The sequence below is a fragment of the Homo sapiens genome, chromosome X (assembly GCF_000001405.40).
Source record: "Homo sapiens chromosome X, GRCh38.p14 Primary Assembly".
In the NCBI taxonomy this organism is placed as follows: domain Eukaryota; kingdom Metazoa; phylum Chordata; class Mammalia; order Primates; family Hominidae; genus Homo; species Homo sapiens.
The window spans coordinates 38,208,734-38,223,915 of NC_000023.11; the positions used below are offsets into that span (position 1 = coordinate 38,208,734).

Genomic DNA, 15,182 nt, shown 5'->3' on the forward strand with positions numbered 1-15,182 from the left:
CAGTGCATGATCATGGCTCACTGCAGCCTTGACCACCTGGGTTCAAGCGATCCTCCCACCTCAGCCCCTGAGTAGCCGGGACTACAGGTGAGTGCCAGCACACCTGACTAATTTCTTTTTTTTTTTTTTTTTTTTTAGAGATAGGGTCCCAAGATGTTGCCCAGGCTGGTCTCAAACTCCTGGGCTCAAGAGATTCTCTCGCCTAGGCCTCTCAAAGTGCTGGGATTACAGGTGTGAGCCACTGTGCTCAGCCTATATATATATATATTTTTTTTTTGCAAAAAATTTTGGAAAAAAAGTGGTCAGCCTACAATTTTTGAAAGCCTTGTTAAAGTACATTCATCAGAGGATACTTTCAGCTCATCTGCAATATCAGATGGGCCATTTTATAGATATGTGTAGCATTCAGACCACCAAGCCAAGAAAAGTAAACGATAATATCTATTTTCTGCCCACCAAAAACATAGAAATGGAAGTTGTCAGTTGTCTCATCTATTTTCACTGAAAATCAAGGTCTGCATGGCTTTCTCAACCCTCATTCCTCTCCTCAGCGGCCAGCCCATGGAGGAAGTAGAATAACTTAGTGCTTCCTCCCAACTCACCCTCAAGCCTCACTATCACTGAGAATTTCAAACTAAGTGACAACACAGCAGTTACATATCCTCACAGAGTAAACACTAAAAAGTGTTCACACACAGACCCATGGCTGTGACACCACTAGCCATGGAAGGCAAAGGAAGAAGGTCTGGAATGGGAGGGAGTGAGCTGAGCTTTGAGAAGGAAGACACAGCCTCCTCATGCTGAGAGCCATAGCTTCCCTCCTATCTGAATGTGTCCTGAGGCTTCCCATGGAGAAAAGGGTCACTCACTCAAATGAAAGCCATTTGGACTTGGCTGGCCTGAAAAGATGAGTTTGGAATTTGGATGAGGAAATTTTACAGAAGAAAGTATTCTGAAAGGAAGTAACGTGAAGAGGAGAGAGAAACACCCCAAGGGCTGTTCCCCAGCTTTCTTTACATTTGAATACACAAAAACACATTTTAAAGAACACATGTTGGCAACACCCAAAAGTTGGTGGCTTTCGTCTCAAAAAAACTTCCTTTAACCAAGACACAATTGCTAGAGAGACAGATGTGGGACAGATGATGCTACCCAAAGGTTGGGGTTTTTTTTCTTCCCCACTTCCACCTCCCCAAGCCTGCAGTGGTCACTGCCACCAGTAAATGCTTCAGGAAAAATTCAATGTCATGTTCCCAAATGTCCTGTCCTGAAACCAAAAACACAGTGTTCACTGAAATCAACAAATGTGAAACACTAGGCTAGTGAGATGTTCGGAGAAAACCATTTGGAAACGTCCACACCAGTGGTTCTCACACTTGAGTGTACATAAGAATCATTTGGAGGATCTGCTAAAATACAGATGGCTAGGCCCACTTCCCACATACCCAGCTTGTGATTCAGTAGCTCTGGGGTGTGGTCTGAGAATGTATATATCTACTAGGTTCCCAGGAGATGCTGCTGCTGTTGCTGCTGGTCTACAGACCCCACTTTGAGATTCTGTGGTCCTCACTATTCCTCCTTGTCCTCTCTCAGAGAGTAACAAGGTATACTGGCATATCAATGACCCTGAGCAGTCCTGCAATAAAGAAACCTATTTAACCCAGCCTTTTGCAACTAAATTACAGTGCATCCTGCTTCCCATATACCATTTCTGAATGTCTCTGGGAAGCAGTGCTTCATGGAAGGAAGTAGGAGACGGTGGAGAGCTATGGGCCATACTACATACCAAGATCCTGGCAGGGCAGCACATCTGGAGACTGCTGTCTAGAAATCCAGGAAGCATTAAGAAATATGTCAGCAGGTAGCAAAAGCCAGTCCACCTCCAGCCTCAGATTAGGACACTGGATCCTAGCCAAGAATTGGCAAGAATAAAACAGCAACCTAGTTTTTAGAGCATCTAAGATATCAGGAGGCTACCAAGCCTCAAACCTTGAGAATGAGACACCCAGTTATGTGTCAGATAAATTAACCGTATACAAGGCTAGTTATAGCATGCTGGCCTGGACCTCCAAGATGAGTCCTGAGCTGAGCCTCGTGGTGGGGAAGAAGTAGCCCCAAACACCCAGGAATCTTGTTAAAAGGTAGGTGCTTATTTCATATCTGTGATGGTGTTCAAGATTCTACATTTCTATAAAGCTCCCAGGTGAGGCTGGTTATCAAACCACACTTTGAGTAAGGCCTTGGATTAGGGGTTCGGCAAACATTTTCTGTAAAGGAAAATATTTCAGCTTTGCAGGCCATATGGACTCTGTCACAACTATTCAACTGCCATCGTATCACCAAGTAGCCATAGACAAATACCCAAAGGAATGAACATGGCTGTGTTCCAATAACATCAAAATTTGAATTTTATATCATTTTCATTTGTCACAAAACATTATTATTCTTTTGATTTTTTTTCAATCAGTTTAAAATGTTAAAACCATTCTTAGCTCAACTAATCATATAAAAACTGGCAGTGAGCCATCTTTGGCCTGCCTGGACTTTGTTTGCAGACCTTCACCCTAGATTACTGGTCCCTAACCTAGATCTACCAAATCAAAATACACAGAGGCGGAGCCAGGGAAACCATATTTCATCAGACTCCCCAGGTGATCCTTACTCAGCCTGTACAAATACCATTGCTGGCCAGACACGGTGGCTCACGCCTGTAATCCCAACACTTTGGGAGGCCGAGGAGGGCAGATCATGAGGTCAGGAGTTTGAGACCAGCCTGGCCAACATGGTGAAACCCCATCTATACTAAAAACACAAAAATTAGATAGGTGTGGTGGTACGCGCCTGTAATCCCAGCTACTCGGGAGGCTGAGGCAGGAGAATCTCTTGAACCTTGGAGGTGGAGGTTGCAGTGAGCCGAGATCATGTCACTGCATTCCAGCCTGGGTGACAGAGCAAGACTCGGTCAAAAAAAAAAGAGGAAAAGAACAGAGAAAAAAAATACCATTGCTGGGTTGGAAACTACTACTTACCCAACTCCCTGAAAAGGTGAGAGACCCTCTTTAAGTGCTGTTAACAGTTCAGTCTTCCTGACATCCCCAATTCATGGAGCTTGAGGGGCTTAATGTGAGGGGCTGTGTGTTTTCCTGACTAACCCACTGGTCTCACTCTCACTCATCTCCCAAGGTGCTGCCTCCCCGCTAACCCCAGTGTCATTGATTTCTGGTATGAAGATAAGAAGTCCCTGTGTCTTTAAGAGCTGATCAGTTCCAGGAATTCTCAGCCCCAGGAGTCTTGCCGGAGTGGCAGGAGCGGCCCTGATCACACTAGCCTGGTTTTCTTGACAGCTAAAGTTATTCATCAGGTATTAATACATCTTAGCTGCAGGAAAAAGCCATGCAAGGCCCCTGTTACCAATCAGCCTGAAGATGTGCTTTGCTGCTGCTCAAGGCTAAGCCAGGCAGGGGCTGTATTCCTGGCAGAAAGGCTTAAAAGGAGATGAAGCCAAGGGAGGTTGCATTTGTTTTTGAGTTAGAGAAGGGAGGAAAAACCTAACCTACAGGCTGTACATGCTTATCTCAGGAATGCTGGGGACTTAGGAAAGGAAGGTCAGAGGATTCAGTGATGAAGGCAAAGCCAACAGGAAAAGGGAGAGGAGGGGAAGTGAACCATTGTGTGTCAGTTATAAACAGGCAAGCCACTCTGTCTTGGCCAAGGGCTGAACTCATTCATCAGACCAGTACTTCCTAAATTTCATCATGTAGAAGAATCATTGGAAGGATCTTGTTAAAATGAAGATGCTGATTCAGTAGGTCTTGGGTTTGGGCCTGAGCTTCTGCAATTTTAACGTGCTCCCAGGTGACCCAAGAGTTCACCACAGATGCTGCTGGCATGCAAGCACAGCTTTCTGTTTTGTTATTTTACAGAGTCACAAGCTCTAAAAGAATATGGGGTCCATAGCTTGTCCACTTGGAGTTAAGCTACTGACATCCAGGACTACATAGATATAGTTCAGGGAGTTCCCTGCACTACAGCACCCACCGTCACACCCTCAAAAAGAGCAAGTGGGGTCTCAAATCAAGCCTGTCCTCCACTCTCCAAGTCTTGAATCCTTGGACTCAAGGCCTCAAGTCCTTGAGTCTTGGGCCTGCCTCTATCCTTTTCTTGCCCAAAGTCTGTCTCCTGACCAAGCCCTGTGTCCACAGATCTACATGTGGCCAGATGGGGGCCTCTTTTTCTAATTCACCCAAAGGTGCTTTATGCACCAGTGGTGGCCCTGCAGCCAGCATTGAGAGGTGGCCAGGCACCATTGGCTGACTCTGGCTAGTATCCTGCCACAGTTGAACCTTGAAAGCACTATACTAAGTGAAAGAAGCCAAACACAAAATGATAAATACTGTGTAATTCCATTTTTATGGAAGGTCAATTGTAGGCAAATCTATAGAGGCAGAAAATAGATTAGTGGTTGCCTAGGGATGGGGGATTAAGAAATGATGGCTAAGGTTTGGAGTTTATTTGGGGGGCAATGAAAACATTCTAAAATTGGTTGTGGTGATGAATGCACAACTCTGTGAATATTCTAAGACCATTGAATTGTACAGTTTAAATGAATGAGGTATGGTACATGAATTGTATCTCAATAAAACTGTTATGAATTTAATCACAAATCAGTTGGGGAGCTCAAAGCAAATGGTATAGAGAGGAAGCATTTGGGACTCTGACAACCTCAAAAGAGGGCAAGGACTGACACTGAGGCAGCAACTTCTCAGAACTCTTGAAAAACATCCAAACAGCTCTAGATATGAGATGCTGAGAGTACAGCCAAGTGTCAATATAAAGAATAGCCCTGAGATACACCCTGGACAGGGGCTCAGTGAACAATGCTGTATTCGTCCATTTTTGCACTGCTATGAAGAAATACTTGAGACTGGGTAATTTATAAAGAAAAGAGGTTTAACTGGATCACGGTTCTGCAGGTTGTACAGGAAGTATAGTAGCTTCTACCTCTGAGGAGGCCTCAGGAAACTTGCAATCAAGGCAGAAGGCGAAGGAGAAGCAGGCATGTCTTACATGGCCAGAGCAGGAGCGAGAGAGAGGAAGGAGGTGCTACACACTTTGAAAACAACCAGGTATTATGGTAACTTACTATTGCAAAAATAACACCAAAGGGGATGGTGCTAAACCATTCATGAGAAATCCGCCCCCCATGATCCAATCACCTCCAGCCAGGCCCACCTCCAGCACTGAAGATTACATTTCAACATGAGATTTGGGTGGGGACACAGATCCAAACCATATCAAATGCTCAGTGCCATTCATTCTTGCCTGCCTATCTCTGGTTCCCCACAGGATGCCTGACATGTAGGGATCACTCAAAAATTGAATTCAATGCATGCCTATGAAGTGAAAGGAATTCTATAGCCACTAGACTGAGGTCTACTCCCAACTCTGCATTTAACTCTCTGTGTGACCCCAGACAAATCCCTTCAACTTGCTAAGCCTCAGAGGCTCCTCCCTAAAATGCAGGGCAAGTTACCATCTCAGGCATCCTCCCAGTCTGAGGTTCCGTGGTTCCATGAATTAGGCAACCCATGCAAGGGAGCCTGGGTGTGGAACAGAGAAACTCCTGCAGAAATCTAGATAAAGACCAAGACACCCACCCAGAGGCTCAGAACTGGCCAGAGGCATGCCCCCCAGCACATGTCACTCCACAGATCCACTGAGAGCCTCCCAGAAGTCAGGCTCCCTGCTAGACCATGAGAATACAAAAATGAACAAGATCCCACAACCTACTCACGTGGCTGGGGGCATCAGCTCCGTGAATAGGTAATGGTGCAACACAATGACCCTACTCCTTGGAAAGCTGAATTAAAATCTAAGTGGAAACAAAATTTCAGTGTTGGGGATTGAAAGGAATTGGAGCCTTGATCTGACTAACACTGAGTCAGTACCAACATGTCTGTCAGAGTTCCTATAAGGAATTGCCACTTTGTGGGCAGAATCTCAGGAGGTGGAGGATGTAGCCGCTCCACCGCTTCCTCACCACTCCACAATGGGCCTGCCAAACCTTGGCTTAATTCTCACCCTGTGGCCCTAATTTAACCGTGTTTGCGAACAATCTTGGATCACTGGGATTGGCAGGGTCATTCAGCTCAGCCACCCACACAATAAGCGGCAGGCGAGCGTCATCCATTAGCAGATCATGGGGTGTAATCAGCATTGAGGAGATTCTCATTAAGTACTACTGGATGTACATTGCAAACAGCTAGTGATAGCAGGGGAAATGAGCTGCTAGTACATGTGACTACACTACAGGTCACTGTAAGAGTGGGACAGAAGAAATATTGCAATGATATTTCAAGGCCAAGGCAGAAAGTCTGTCCCCAGATTCTATGTTTGGATCTATTACTCAGAAGAAAGTTTGAAAATCATTATGCTCAATTTACAACCCCAAACCTCTGGGATAATCCAAGCCATTATGTCCAAACCCATTTATCTTCTCCCTGGAGAACAATGCATAAAGAAGCATCCATTGTGAGCTAAGGATTACGGGTGAGTGAATCATTCAGCTCGGGAATGAGTACTCCAGAGGTTTCTGAGGTCAGAATGTGCCAGACACCCGTAAGATCCAGGTGCTACCAATTATCATCTGGAAAACTTGGGAGCTTAGCAGTGCTACCAAGGACTTTTCTCTTGCACAAGCTTTTCCTCTAAATCTTTATCTGCACATCCTGCCCCCAGAACTCCCTTGAGTTTCTAAGTCTCTTAGAATGTCTTACGGTGATTTGACATCCAAGAGCCTTCGCAATTAACTATGCCCTGATTCGTTGCCTGTCCAAATGGACAAATTTCCTTTGACATTTAGCTATCTTGCAATCCGTTTTCTCAGGAAAGTGTCATCTTGGAAATTCTGGTTAAATCCTACAGGGGAGATTTGAAATGGAATACTTTGATTCACAATTACTTCAATCAATTAATCCACAAATACTGACTAAAGATCCTCCCCCAAGTCACACTGTGTACTAAGTGGGGCAGGGGGGTACAGCAAGTTACCAGCCCAGGCCTGAAGGCAATTACAATTTACGATTACATCTGTTTTGCTTGGTACTGCTTTTTAAATGAAAATAACTGGAAACTATACAGCTGGCTGTAACTGGAAAGGCCACCTGCTCACTGGTTCAATCAAAGTTTACCTACTGTGGTAATTTCATCTTACTCTGTATGTTGATTTTTCTGCCCATTAAGTGCATATTTTCTCATAGAATTCATGAAGGTGCTCTAGTAACTAGTGGTTTTGAATCGGGATAGAGCCGTCTCCCCAGAAAAAGGACACTCACACAGATTTTTGTCTCCAATTTCAAAACATTCTTAGAGAAGCCCACACATCCTCTACTTTCACTTTTCTTGGGCCTTTAGTGCCACCATCTCCGCACCAGCAAGTCTCAGCATCATTCTTCAATAACCAATTCCAGTGTTCCCACATAGCTCCTCTCTGTGCTCCCCGGGCCTGTCAATCCAATTGTATTATAACATTGACCACCTGAAATAACTATGTCTCTATTTCCCCACAAGACAGAAAGCTACGAGAGAGAAGAAATTGCATACCTTCTTCATCGTGGTCTCCCAAGCACATAAATGCTTCATCATTCAGTGTTCACTTTAAAAATAAGTCTCTGGGCAGAGCCCAGGATTTATTAGAAAAGGTAGAAACTGATTCTATTTCAGAACTAAACCCAAATTTCCCAGAGATTCAGGCTTAAAAGACCACCCTCCTAAAACAAATGGCCCATAAAAGTTAGCAGTTAAGACATCACACAGTCAAGAACTGAGGGGCTGGTTTGAGAAACTCCCTATGAATTGGAAGTTGGGAGAGGTTATTATTCACGCTGCTATTTTGGAAGCGAATCTCTAACCTGGGCATTAATCATAACTTGCCTGCTACAAATTTCATACTATGTTATAGCCTGGCAAAACTAAACCTTCTTCTGTTCAAATTCTCTCTTCACTTTCAATTACTAATTTCAGTTGTGTTCTCTGAAAGGGGAATTGACGTAGCACACATATTTGCGTTTACTAAGGAAACCATTCAACCACTTGGGAAAGGCACAGATCAAGGTGGCCAACAAAAATAATAAATGCAAACTCCAGCTTGCGGTTGCAGTCAGTCTCTCATCTTACAGCCCCCAACAGAGAAGGTTATTGCTTAAACAGAGAGTGTTCGTATATTTAAAAGGAACCTCTGTATCCAGTAAGCCATCGTTTCTATGTATGTAGATTCATGGTGGCACAAAGCCCTGTGTACCTGTGCACATGTTTCCCTCAGCTCCTTTCCTGTCCAATGGCCCATCACTGGAGTTACAGGCACTGTTAATCCATTACGCACAAATATCCATGTGGCACAAAGTGCTCTGCTAGGCACCGTGGGAAATACAAATAAGGGTAAGACATAGCACGGCCCCTGCCTCCAAGGTCTTAAAATCTACAAGAAGAAGAGTGCATAAATTATGATAATATACAGCATTATCAAATATGTGATATATGTGATAAATATAAGAGACATGAGTGAGACCATGGGTGTTAAAAGGAAGGCACGTTGCTTCCCATTGGAGCGATCAAGAAAAGGTCTCATCAAAGTGGGGGTGTTGCTGGATGATGGGCAGAATTTGGACAAATGGCAAGGGGGAAGGATTCCAGGTACAGAAAGCAGCATCTGCCAAGAAGGAAAATGTGACTCAGGTTCTATAAGGATAGGATTTTAGGAAACCAGGGGGAAAAGACTGGAAAATTAGGCTAGAAGCAAACTGTGTAGCCCCCTAAAAACAACTGAGAACTTTTTACTTGAGTGAGAACAGGGACCTGCTGCCCTAAGTTTTTGAGTAAGGGAGTGATGTGATAAAAAACAGTACTAAAGTCAATGGACTTAAAAGACCATTATCTAAAGTGAGAAAGTAAAATGAGCTAGAATTAGAGAGACCAAAAGTGAGAATGTTATAGCAATAATCTAAAAGAGAAAAGCAGCACTTTGGTTATGGTACGAGGACTGATGAGGTGGGAAGATGTGAAGACGCTGCTTTAACAATGGTTTCTGGTGTCTCATTCAGCTCCCAAATCTGCGAAATGAGTAGTAACTAACAAACAACATTGTACTGTACTGAAAGTGTTATCAATGAAGAAAATGCCAGAGGAAAATGACCTGCTCTCCCCAGCATATTTCCTTTTCATTGCAGAGTACTTTTGTCAGCTGATTACATGTTTTAAATCTAAATAGGAATTCCTAGCCTGTTCCCGGTGACACCTTAATTATATAACCTGAGCTAGGTGCTCCATTCCTAGTACTTATCTCCAAATGTGGTATTTCAAAAGACTGCTTCAGCTGATGTAGTCTGGTTTGGCTTTTAGCAAACCTCACTTGGTTTTCCTGACTAGTAAAACCACGCTACTTTACCAGTTTTCTCCAGATGTAAGATTCACGAAGCCTTTCTTAGAGGCCATGGTACTCATTCTCCATCTTCAGCCTTGTTTGCAGAAGGAGGCAGAGTGAACCACCACTATCTCACATGCAAATACAGCTCTAAGAATTATTTTAAGAACAGAATCTAAATTCTCATCTGTTATAAGCATACAAACACAGTCAAACACAAACAACTTTTCTACAAATTTTCCATACACTTCATGTAGGTTTTTATAGACACTGCATCTTTGCTAGGCTGCAAAAAATAGATCAGAGAGCCAGAAAAGCTGCATTAAATTCTAAGATGGAAGAACTCCAGAGACCTTCTAGGAGTGGGAATGAGAATGATTTACTCTCACTCTGACAGATGTGCTATTCACGTGCAGATAGTTACATAATCGACTTGCTGATGGAGCCCTAGATCTCCATCTTCTTTCAGAAGTTCCAGATTCAAGTCCTTCACTTTCTCTCTTACTGAAGATATGATGTCCACTTGCTAAGAGAGTGTCTCTGAAATGATCTTTAAAATTTGTCACCCAGCACTTAGAGTGAACTCAGCCTATGTGATTTGCTTTCAGACCCAAGGGCCTAGAGATTTTCCCCTCCCCAGCCTTCCAAAGCCTCTGGCTTGGACTGAAATCCCCTCCTCTGGATCTCACAACCTCAGCGGAGCACACTTCCCAAGAGACCCCATTGAGCCATGCCAAAAGGAGGCTCAAGAGGAGTGTTTATCAAGCAGCTCCAATCAGCTTCAGCTCATTTGTGGTCTGAGCAGAGCCGGAGGGCAGGTTAGGAGTCAGTGGAGGTGGTGGCAAGCAGGAACATGGTGGCTAAAAGTTGGGAGCAGCTTGCAGGCTGGCAGAGGGAGCCAGGAAAGCCAGGGATAGGTCCCAAAAGACAGGTGGTAGTGAATGCCCAAACTGGCGAACTCATGATTCTGTGGCTGGGCCCTGGTAGCAAGCTGTACTATATAAAGGTGGAAGATGAGAGAAAGGAGAGGGGAGGGCAGGGGAGGAGAACGGAGGGAGGTCGGATGGAAAAGGAGAAGGGGTCCCCAGCTTGAGAAAGGCTCAACTAAAAGTTGAGGTTCCCAGGCAGCTCACAGGCACCTCCCAACTCAGTGCGGAAAAGCTACCTCTAGCTTCTCACCTTATTTGCCCGCTCCCAGAAAGCTGCTTCTGGGACGCTTAATGACTTCCTCTTCCCCTACAGGTTCATTTTAACCTGATTCCTGCTAAAGGGGGTGGGAGAGGAGGTATTAACACACCATGGGAATAACAGTTGCCTGGCAGTAAGGATAAAATTTCCTTTCCACTTTACCCTGAATCAGTTCCTACAAAGCAGCTTAAAACTTAAGAGTCAGCTCAAAACACAAATGTTCCTGTTTATTAATTTACAAATTTGTTCTATTCATTCATTTATTTAGGTGCGTGCAGAGAATTTCCCGCAGCCATCCCTACATCTCCCAAGCACACTGCTAGAAAGATGGGCATCCTCTATCCTTCTACCAGAACTCAGTAGGTTCATTTCTCATACCCTAGATTTAAGCTGCCCACGGTGTTGAACGCAGAGCCAAATATTTGCACGCCCTATAGCCGACGTCACCCACTTTCCCATTAACACTAAATTAAAACGCATCCATGGATTTCCTCTCCATTCCGAGGCAACAGGAGTGCATGGCACATTGCCCTACTCCCCTGAAGCTCTTCGCTAACCTAAGACTCCAGGGTGAGGAAGTTAGCTGGAGCTTTTTAAAGTGCATCTCCAAAGAGAATTTTGCTCACACCATGAGAGCCCCCAAGAAACACCAGGGCCCCCTTAGATGCCGGAGACCACGCCCTCCAGGAATAAGCCGCACCCTCTGCCCAGCAGATCCTTGCGCGAGTAGCCCTCTTTCCCTGGGGCTAATCAAGTGCATGCCACATGTCACCACTCTCAGCTGGCAATTCTTCCTCAGAGGCGCAGACTTTCTCGGAATCCCCAGCAGGGGGGGTTAAGAGATTCAGGGGAGGCCCCGCCCGTGCCTTCCACAAAAGTCGCTTTACCGTGGCTCGTGTCCTGCGGCCCCAAGGGGGTAGCCTGGGACGTGTAGTGGGAGGGCATAGAGGCTCCTTCCAGGACAAGCTGCCAGCCTCCAGTGGGCAACCATGTGAGAGGCAAAATTCTGGGGGTGAGAAAGTAGCAAACTAGTCTGCGGCCAAACTTTCTCTGTGGAGCCTCCTACACCGAAAAGGGTTTGATTGGAACTCTGGAAGCCCGGACGCAGAAGGTGCTAGGGCTCCCGTCGCCGCGAGGGCGCCCCGCGCCTGGAGATGGGATGGTCAGTTCTTCCCGGCGCGTGCCCAGACACCAGCCCCGATCCGCATCATCCCCACCCTCGGGCTGCGAAAGAGGAGTTCTGCGCAAACAAAGGGCGCCCCCGGCACCTCCCTCTATCCCGAGCGAAGGGTCCCAACGGCGACTCCGGGGGTCTTTGGTGCCCAGCTGAGGAGGCAGCCACGCCTCCGATCCTACCTGGGAAGCTGCGGCTGGGCGGGACGCGCAGCAGCAGCAGCAGCAGCAGAGGCGGCAGCAGCAGCAGCAGCGCGGGCCGATGTGCGGGGCTCCCCATGGCGAGCGGGCGCTTAGCTCGCCTCGGCAGCGCAGCGCGCTTCCCGGGGGCGGCAGGAGACCGAAGAGACCAAGGGACTGCGTGCTAGCGGGCGGGCGAAGGCCGGGCTGGAAAACTCCTCCTCTCGCCTCTTTCCCTCCCTCCTTCCTGCCTGGGGCCTGCCCTCCTTTCTCCGCCCCCCCTGGAACACTGCGCGGTTCGGGGCTCTGACCCACCCACCTCCTCCTTTTGTGCCAGCGCTTTTTCTGGCCAGAGAGCGCTGGAGACAAGCCCCAGCAGAGCGAAATATCCTGAAGTAGCTTTCTTTGCCCCAATTTGCGCGCCCCCTCACCCGGAATACACACACGGTATTCAATACAACCGCCTCGAACATCCCAGACGTCTAGAAGGATACCATCTGTGCAGAAAGCTGCGTGAGTCACACGGAAACAGAAGGGGCAACCGAGGGGATTCAGAGTGGCCCACTGCGGCCGGATACTATGGCCATGTTCTCTGTTTTGATCCTCACGACCATGCCCCAAGTTCGCTATTACCATGTCCACTTTCTCCAATAAGACACCGACGCTTAGAAACTTGCCCAGATTCACCCCCGTTACTGGCAGAGCAGGGACTGGAACTTAGGTGTGTAGTTCTGCCGACGTCAAAGTCCATACTACAGATTTTTTGTTAGTTTGTTTCTCTTTTGCAAAGGAATAAATCAAGGACTGGACCGGGTGCGTGCCTGCTCTGCTGCGGTTTAGGATGGGGCTTGAGGTTCTCCTTCCAGGATCAGCTGATGGGAGAGCACAAGGCACAGAAAGTTCTCTGTCTCACCCACAGCCATGGGGATCCAGCTGTAGGTTCCTGCAGCCAGATTTCCTCATTTCCTGGGTTGTTCTCAACCACCCCAAAGATACCACGACCAGACTGGAGCCTCTTCCCTGTGGCTTGGCATCGCTGGATCCTGGCATCAGGACAGGGTTTCTAGGCTGCCCGCAGGACGGATCTGGTTTCTTTGAGGCATTTGAGTAAGCCTCTCATAGTTTTGTTTGTTTGTTTGTTGTTTTGGTTGTTTAGTTCTTGTTAAATCAGTAAGGCAATACGTTGCCCCTTTGCTGTCTCAGAAAGATCTTAGCTAAGGCAAATTTTAGTTGGAGTTGCTGCATTAGGTTGTGCAGTTTGGGCACTGTACAAAGGCATCCAGAGGAAGGGGCAAGTGGGAGCCAAAATCCAAATGCCTTTGGGTTCAGGGAGCTTTGCGTCTTGGCAGGGGCCACATCCACTAGAAGGGCATCTTTCTCTCTGCCACAGTAGTCTGGTCTGATAGCTAGGCTAAGAGCCCTGGGGGCACTCACCTAGAAGTTCTGAATTTGTTTATCCAGAAGGAGTGCCATTTCCCAATTCTCACAAAAGCCCCAGACTTGAACGTCCATCTTACCCTCTCTAGCACTTGGGGGGACTTCGCTCCATCTCCTGTGGGTTTCTCCACTGCTGCTACCTCTTCAGGGAACCAACAACCCTTAAATAACCCCCTAGTCGCAAGGAAATGGGGGAGGTCAGTCTATTCTGTGGCCTCCATCAGACCAGACTTTCCAGGGAGTCATTCTCAACCTTGTTTATGTGGGTCACCTGGGGAGCTTCATGAAAATACCATATCCAGGCTCTACCTCACACTAATAAAATCAGAATCTTTAGGAATGTGACCTGGAGTTTGACCAGATGCATATTTTTGTCTCTCCCCAATCCGCTAAGCTCCACGGTATAAGTTTTAGTATAGGATAAAAATTCTAGACCAGGAGTTTCTCAACTTGGGCACTATTGATATTTGGGGCTAGATGATTCTTTCTTGGGGAGGGGGACTGCCTTGCACGTTGAGAGATGCATCGATGGCCTCTATGCAACAGATACCACTAGCAATCCCCCTTTCCCCAGTTATGGCAGCCAAAAAAATGTCTCCAGACATTGCCAAATGTCCCCCAGGGGAAAAATGCCCCCAATAGAGAACTACTTCTTTAGGTCTGTAAACAAGGGTTAATGTGCACCCCAAATTCCAGGTCCAGGATAGCCTGGCCAGCAGCCTTCCTTTCCTATGTCACCTCTGAAGCAATGTGTCTTCACCACAACCAGTATACATTCTATTACTGGGCTGAGAAGGAACTTCTAGCTCACTTCTATCCACTGATTCTGGCTGGATTACAAGAAACACCACACTTACTGTTGACTTGCTCTCTGGCCTTTGAATGTCCTCACCACAAAGAAAGAAATCAGAAATGGATGAGGTGATGGTCACGCAAAATACTGACTTGACGCTTGGTGCAGTGGCTCATGATTGTAATCCCAGCACTTTGGGAGGCCAAGGTAGGCGGATCACTTGAGGTCAAGAGTTTGAGACCAGCCTGGCCAATATAGTGAAACCCCATCTCTACTAAAAATACAAAAATTAGCCGGGAGTGGTGGCACACACCTGTAGTCCCAGCTACTCGGGAGGCCAAGGCAGGAGAATCACTTGAACCTGGGAGGCAGAGGTTGTGCCACTGCACTCCAGACTGGGCAACAGAGCTAGACTCCATCTCAAAAAAAAAAATACTGACTTGATTTTTTCTTTTTCTTTTTCTTTTCTTTCTTTCTTTTTTTTTTTTTTCTTTGACAGGGTCTTATTCTGAATTTGAATTTGTTTATCCAGAAGGAGTGCTGTTTCCTGGCTGGAGTGCAGTGGCATGATCATAGCTCATTGCAGCCTCAAACACCTGTGCTCAAGCAATTCTCCTGCCTCAGCTTCCTGAGTAGCTAGGACTACAAGCATGTGCCACCATGGCCAGCTAAGTGTTTTTTGTAGATATGGGGGTCCCATAAATATGTACATTTACAATGTGTCCATTAAAAAAATAAACAAAAATAAAAGACTTGAAGAAACATCTCTATATAATGTTTACAGAGAAAAATAACATTTGTTGTTTTCATTGTGCAAGGATATCTTGAAGGACAGATCCAAGTTCAGTTGCCTCTTGTATCAATAAATCGAAATAACCCTTTCATTTTTACCTAACAAAGATAAAGGGGAGAGAACAAGGTGGTATTCTTACCTAGTGGGAATACTAAAAGGAATGCCATTGTTGTCAAAATGTATAAGGTATATAAATCACG

The 15,182-nt window shown here is 46.1% G+C and overlaps 1 protein-coding gene and 1 long non-coding RNA gene across 8 annotated transcripts in view; one reads left to right on the forward strand and one right to left on the reverse strand.

The window, feature by feature from the left end:
- Positions 1-12,138, reverse strand: part of SRPX (sushi repeat containing protein X-linked) — a 71,533-nt gene extending 59,395 nt beyond the window's left edge. For all 7 annotated transcript variants that reach the window (XM_047442564.1, NM_001170750.2, NM_001170751.2 and 4 more), the window contains exon 1: positions 11,963-12,138. In XM_047442564.1, the coding sequence (XP_047298520.1) occupies positions 11,963-12,059 (97 nt within the window). In that variant the 5' untranslated portion in view covers positions 12,060-12,138. The remainder of the gene's footprint in view (positions 1-11,962) is intronic.
- LOC124905176 (uncharacterized) lies at positions 12,175-14,959 on the forward strand. The gene is made up of 2 exons (XR_007068212.1): positions 12,175-13,066; positions 14,689-14,959. It is a non-coding gene; the product is annotated as an uncharacterized LOC124905176 (long non-coding RNA).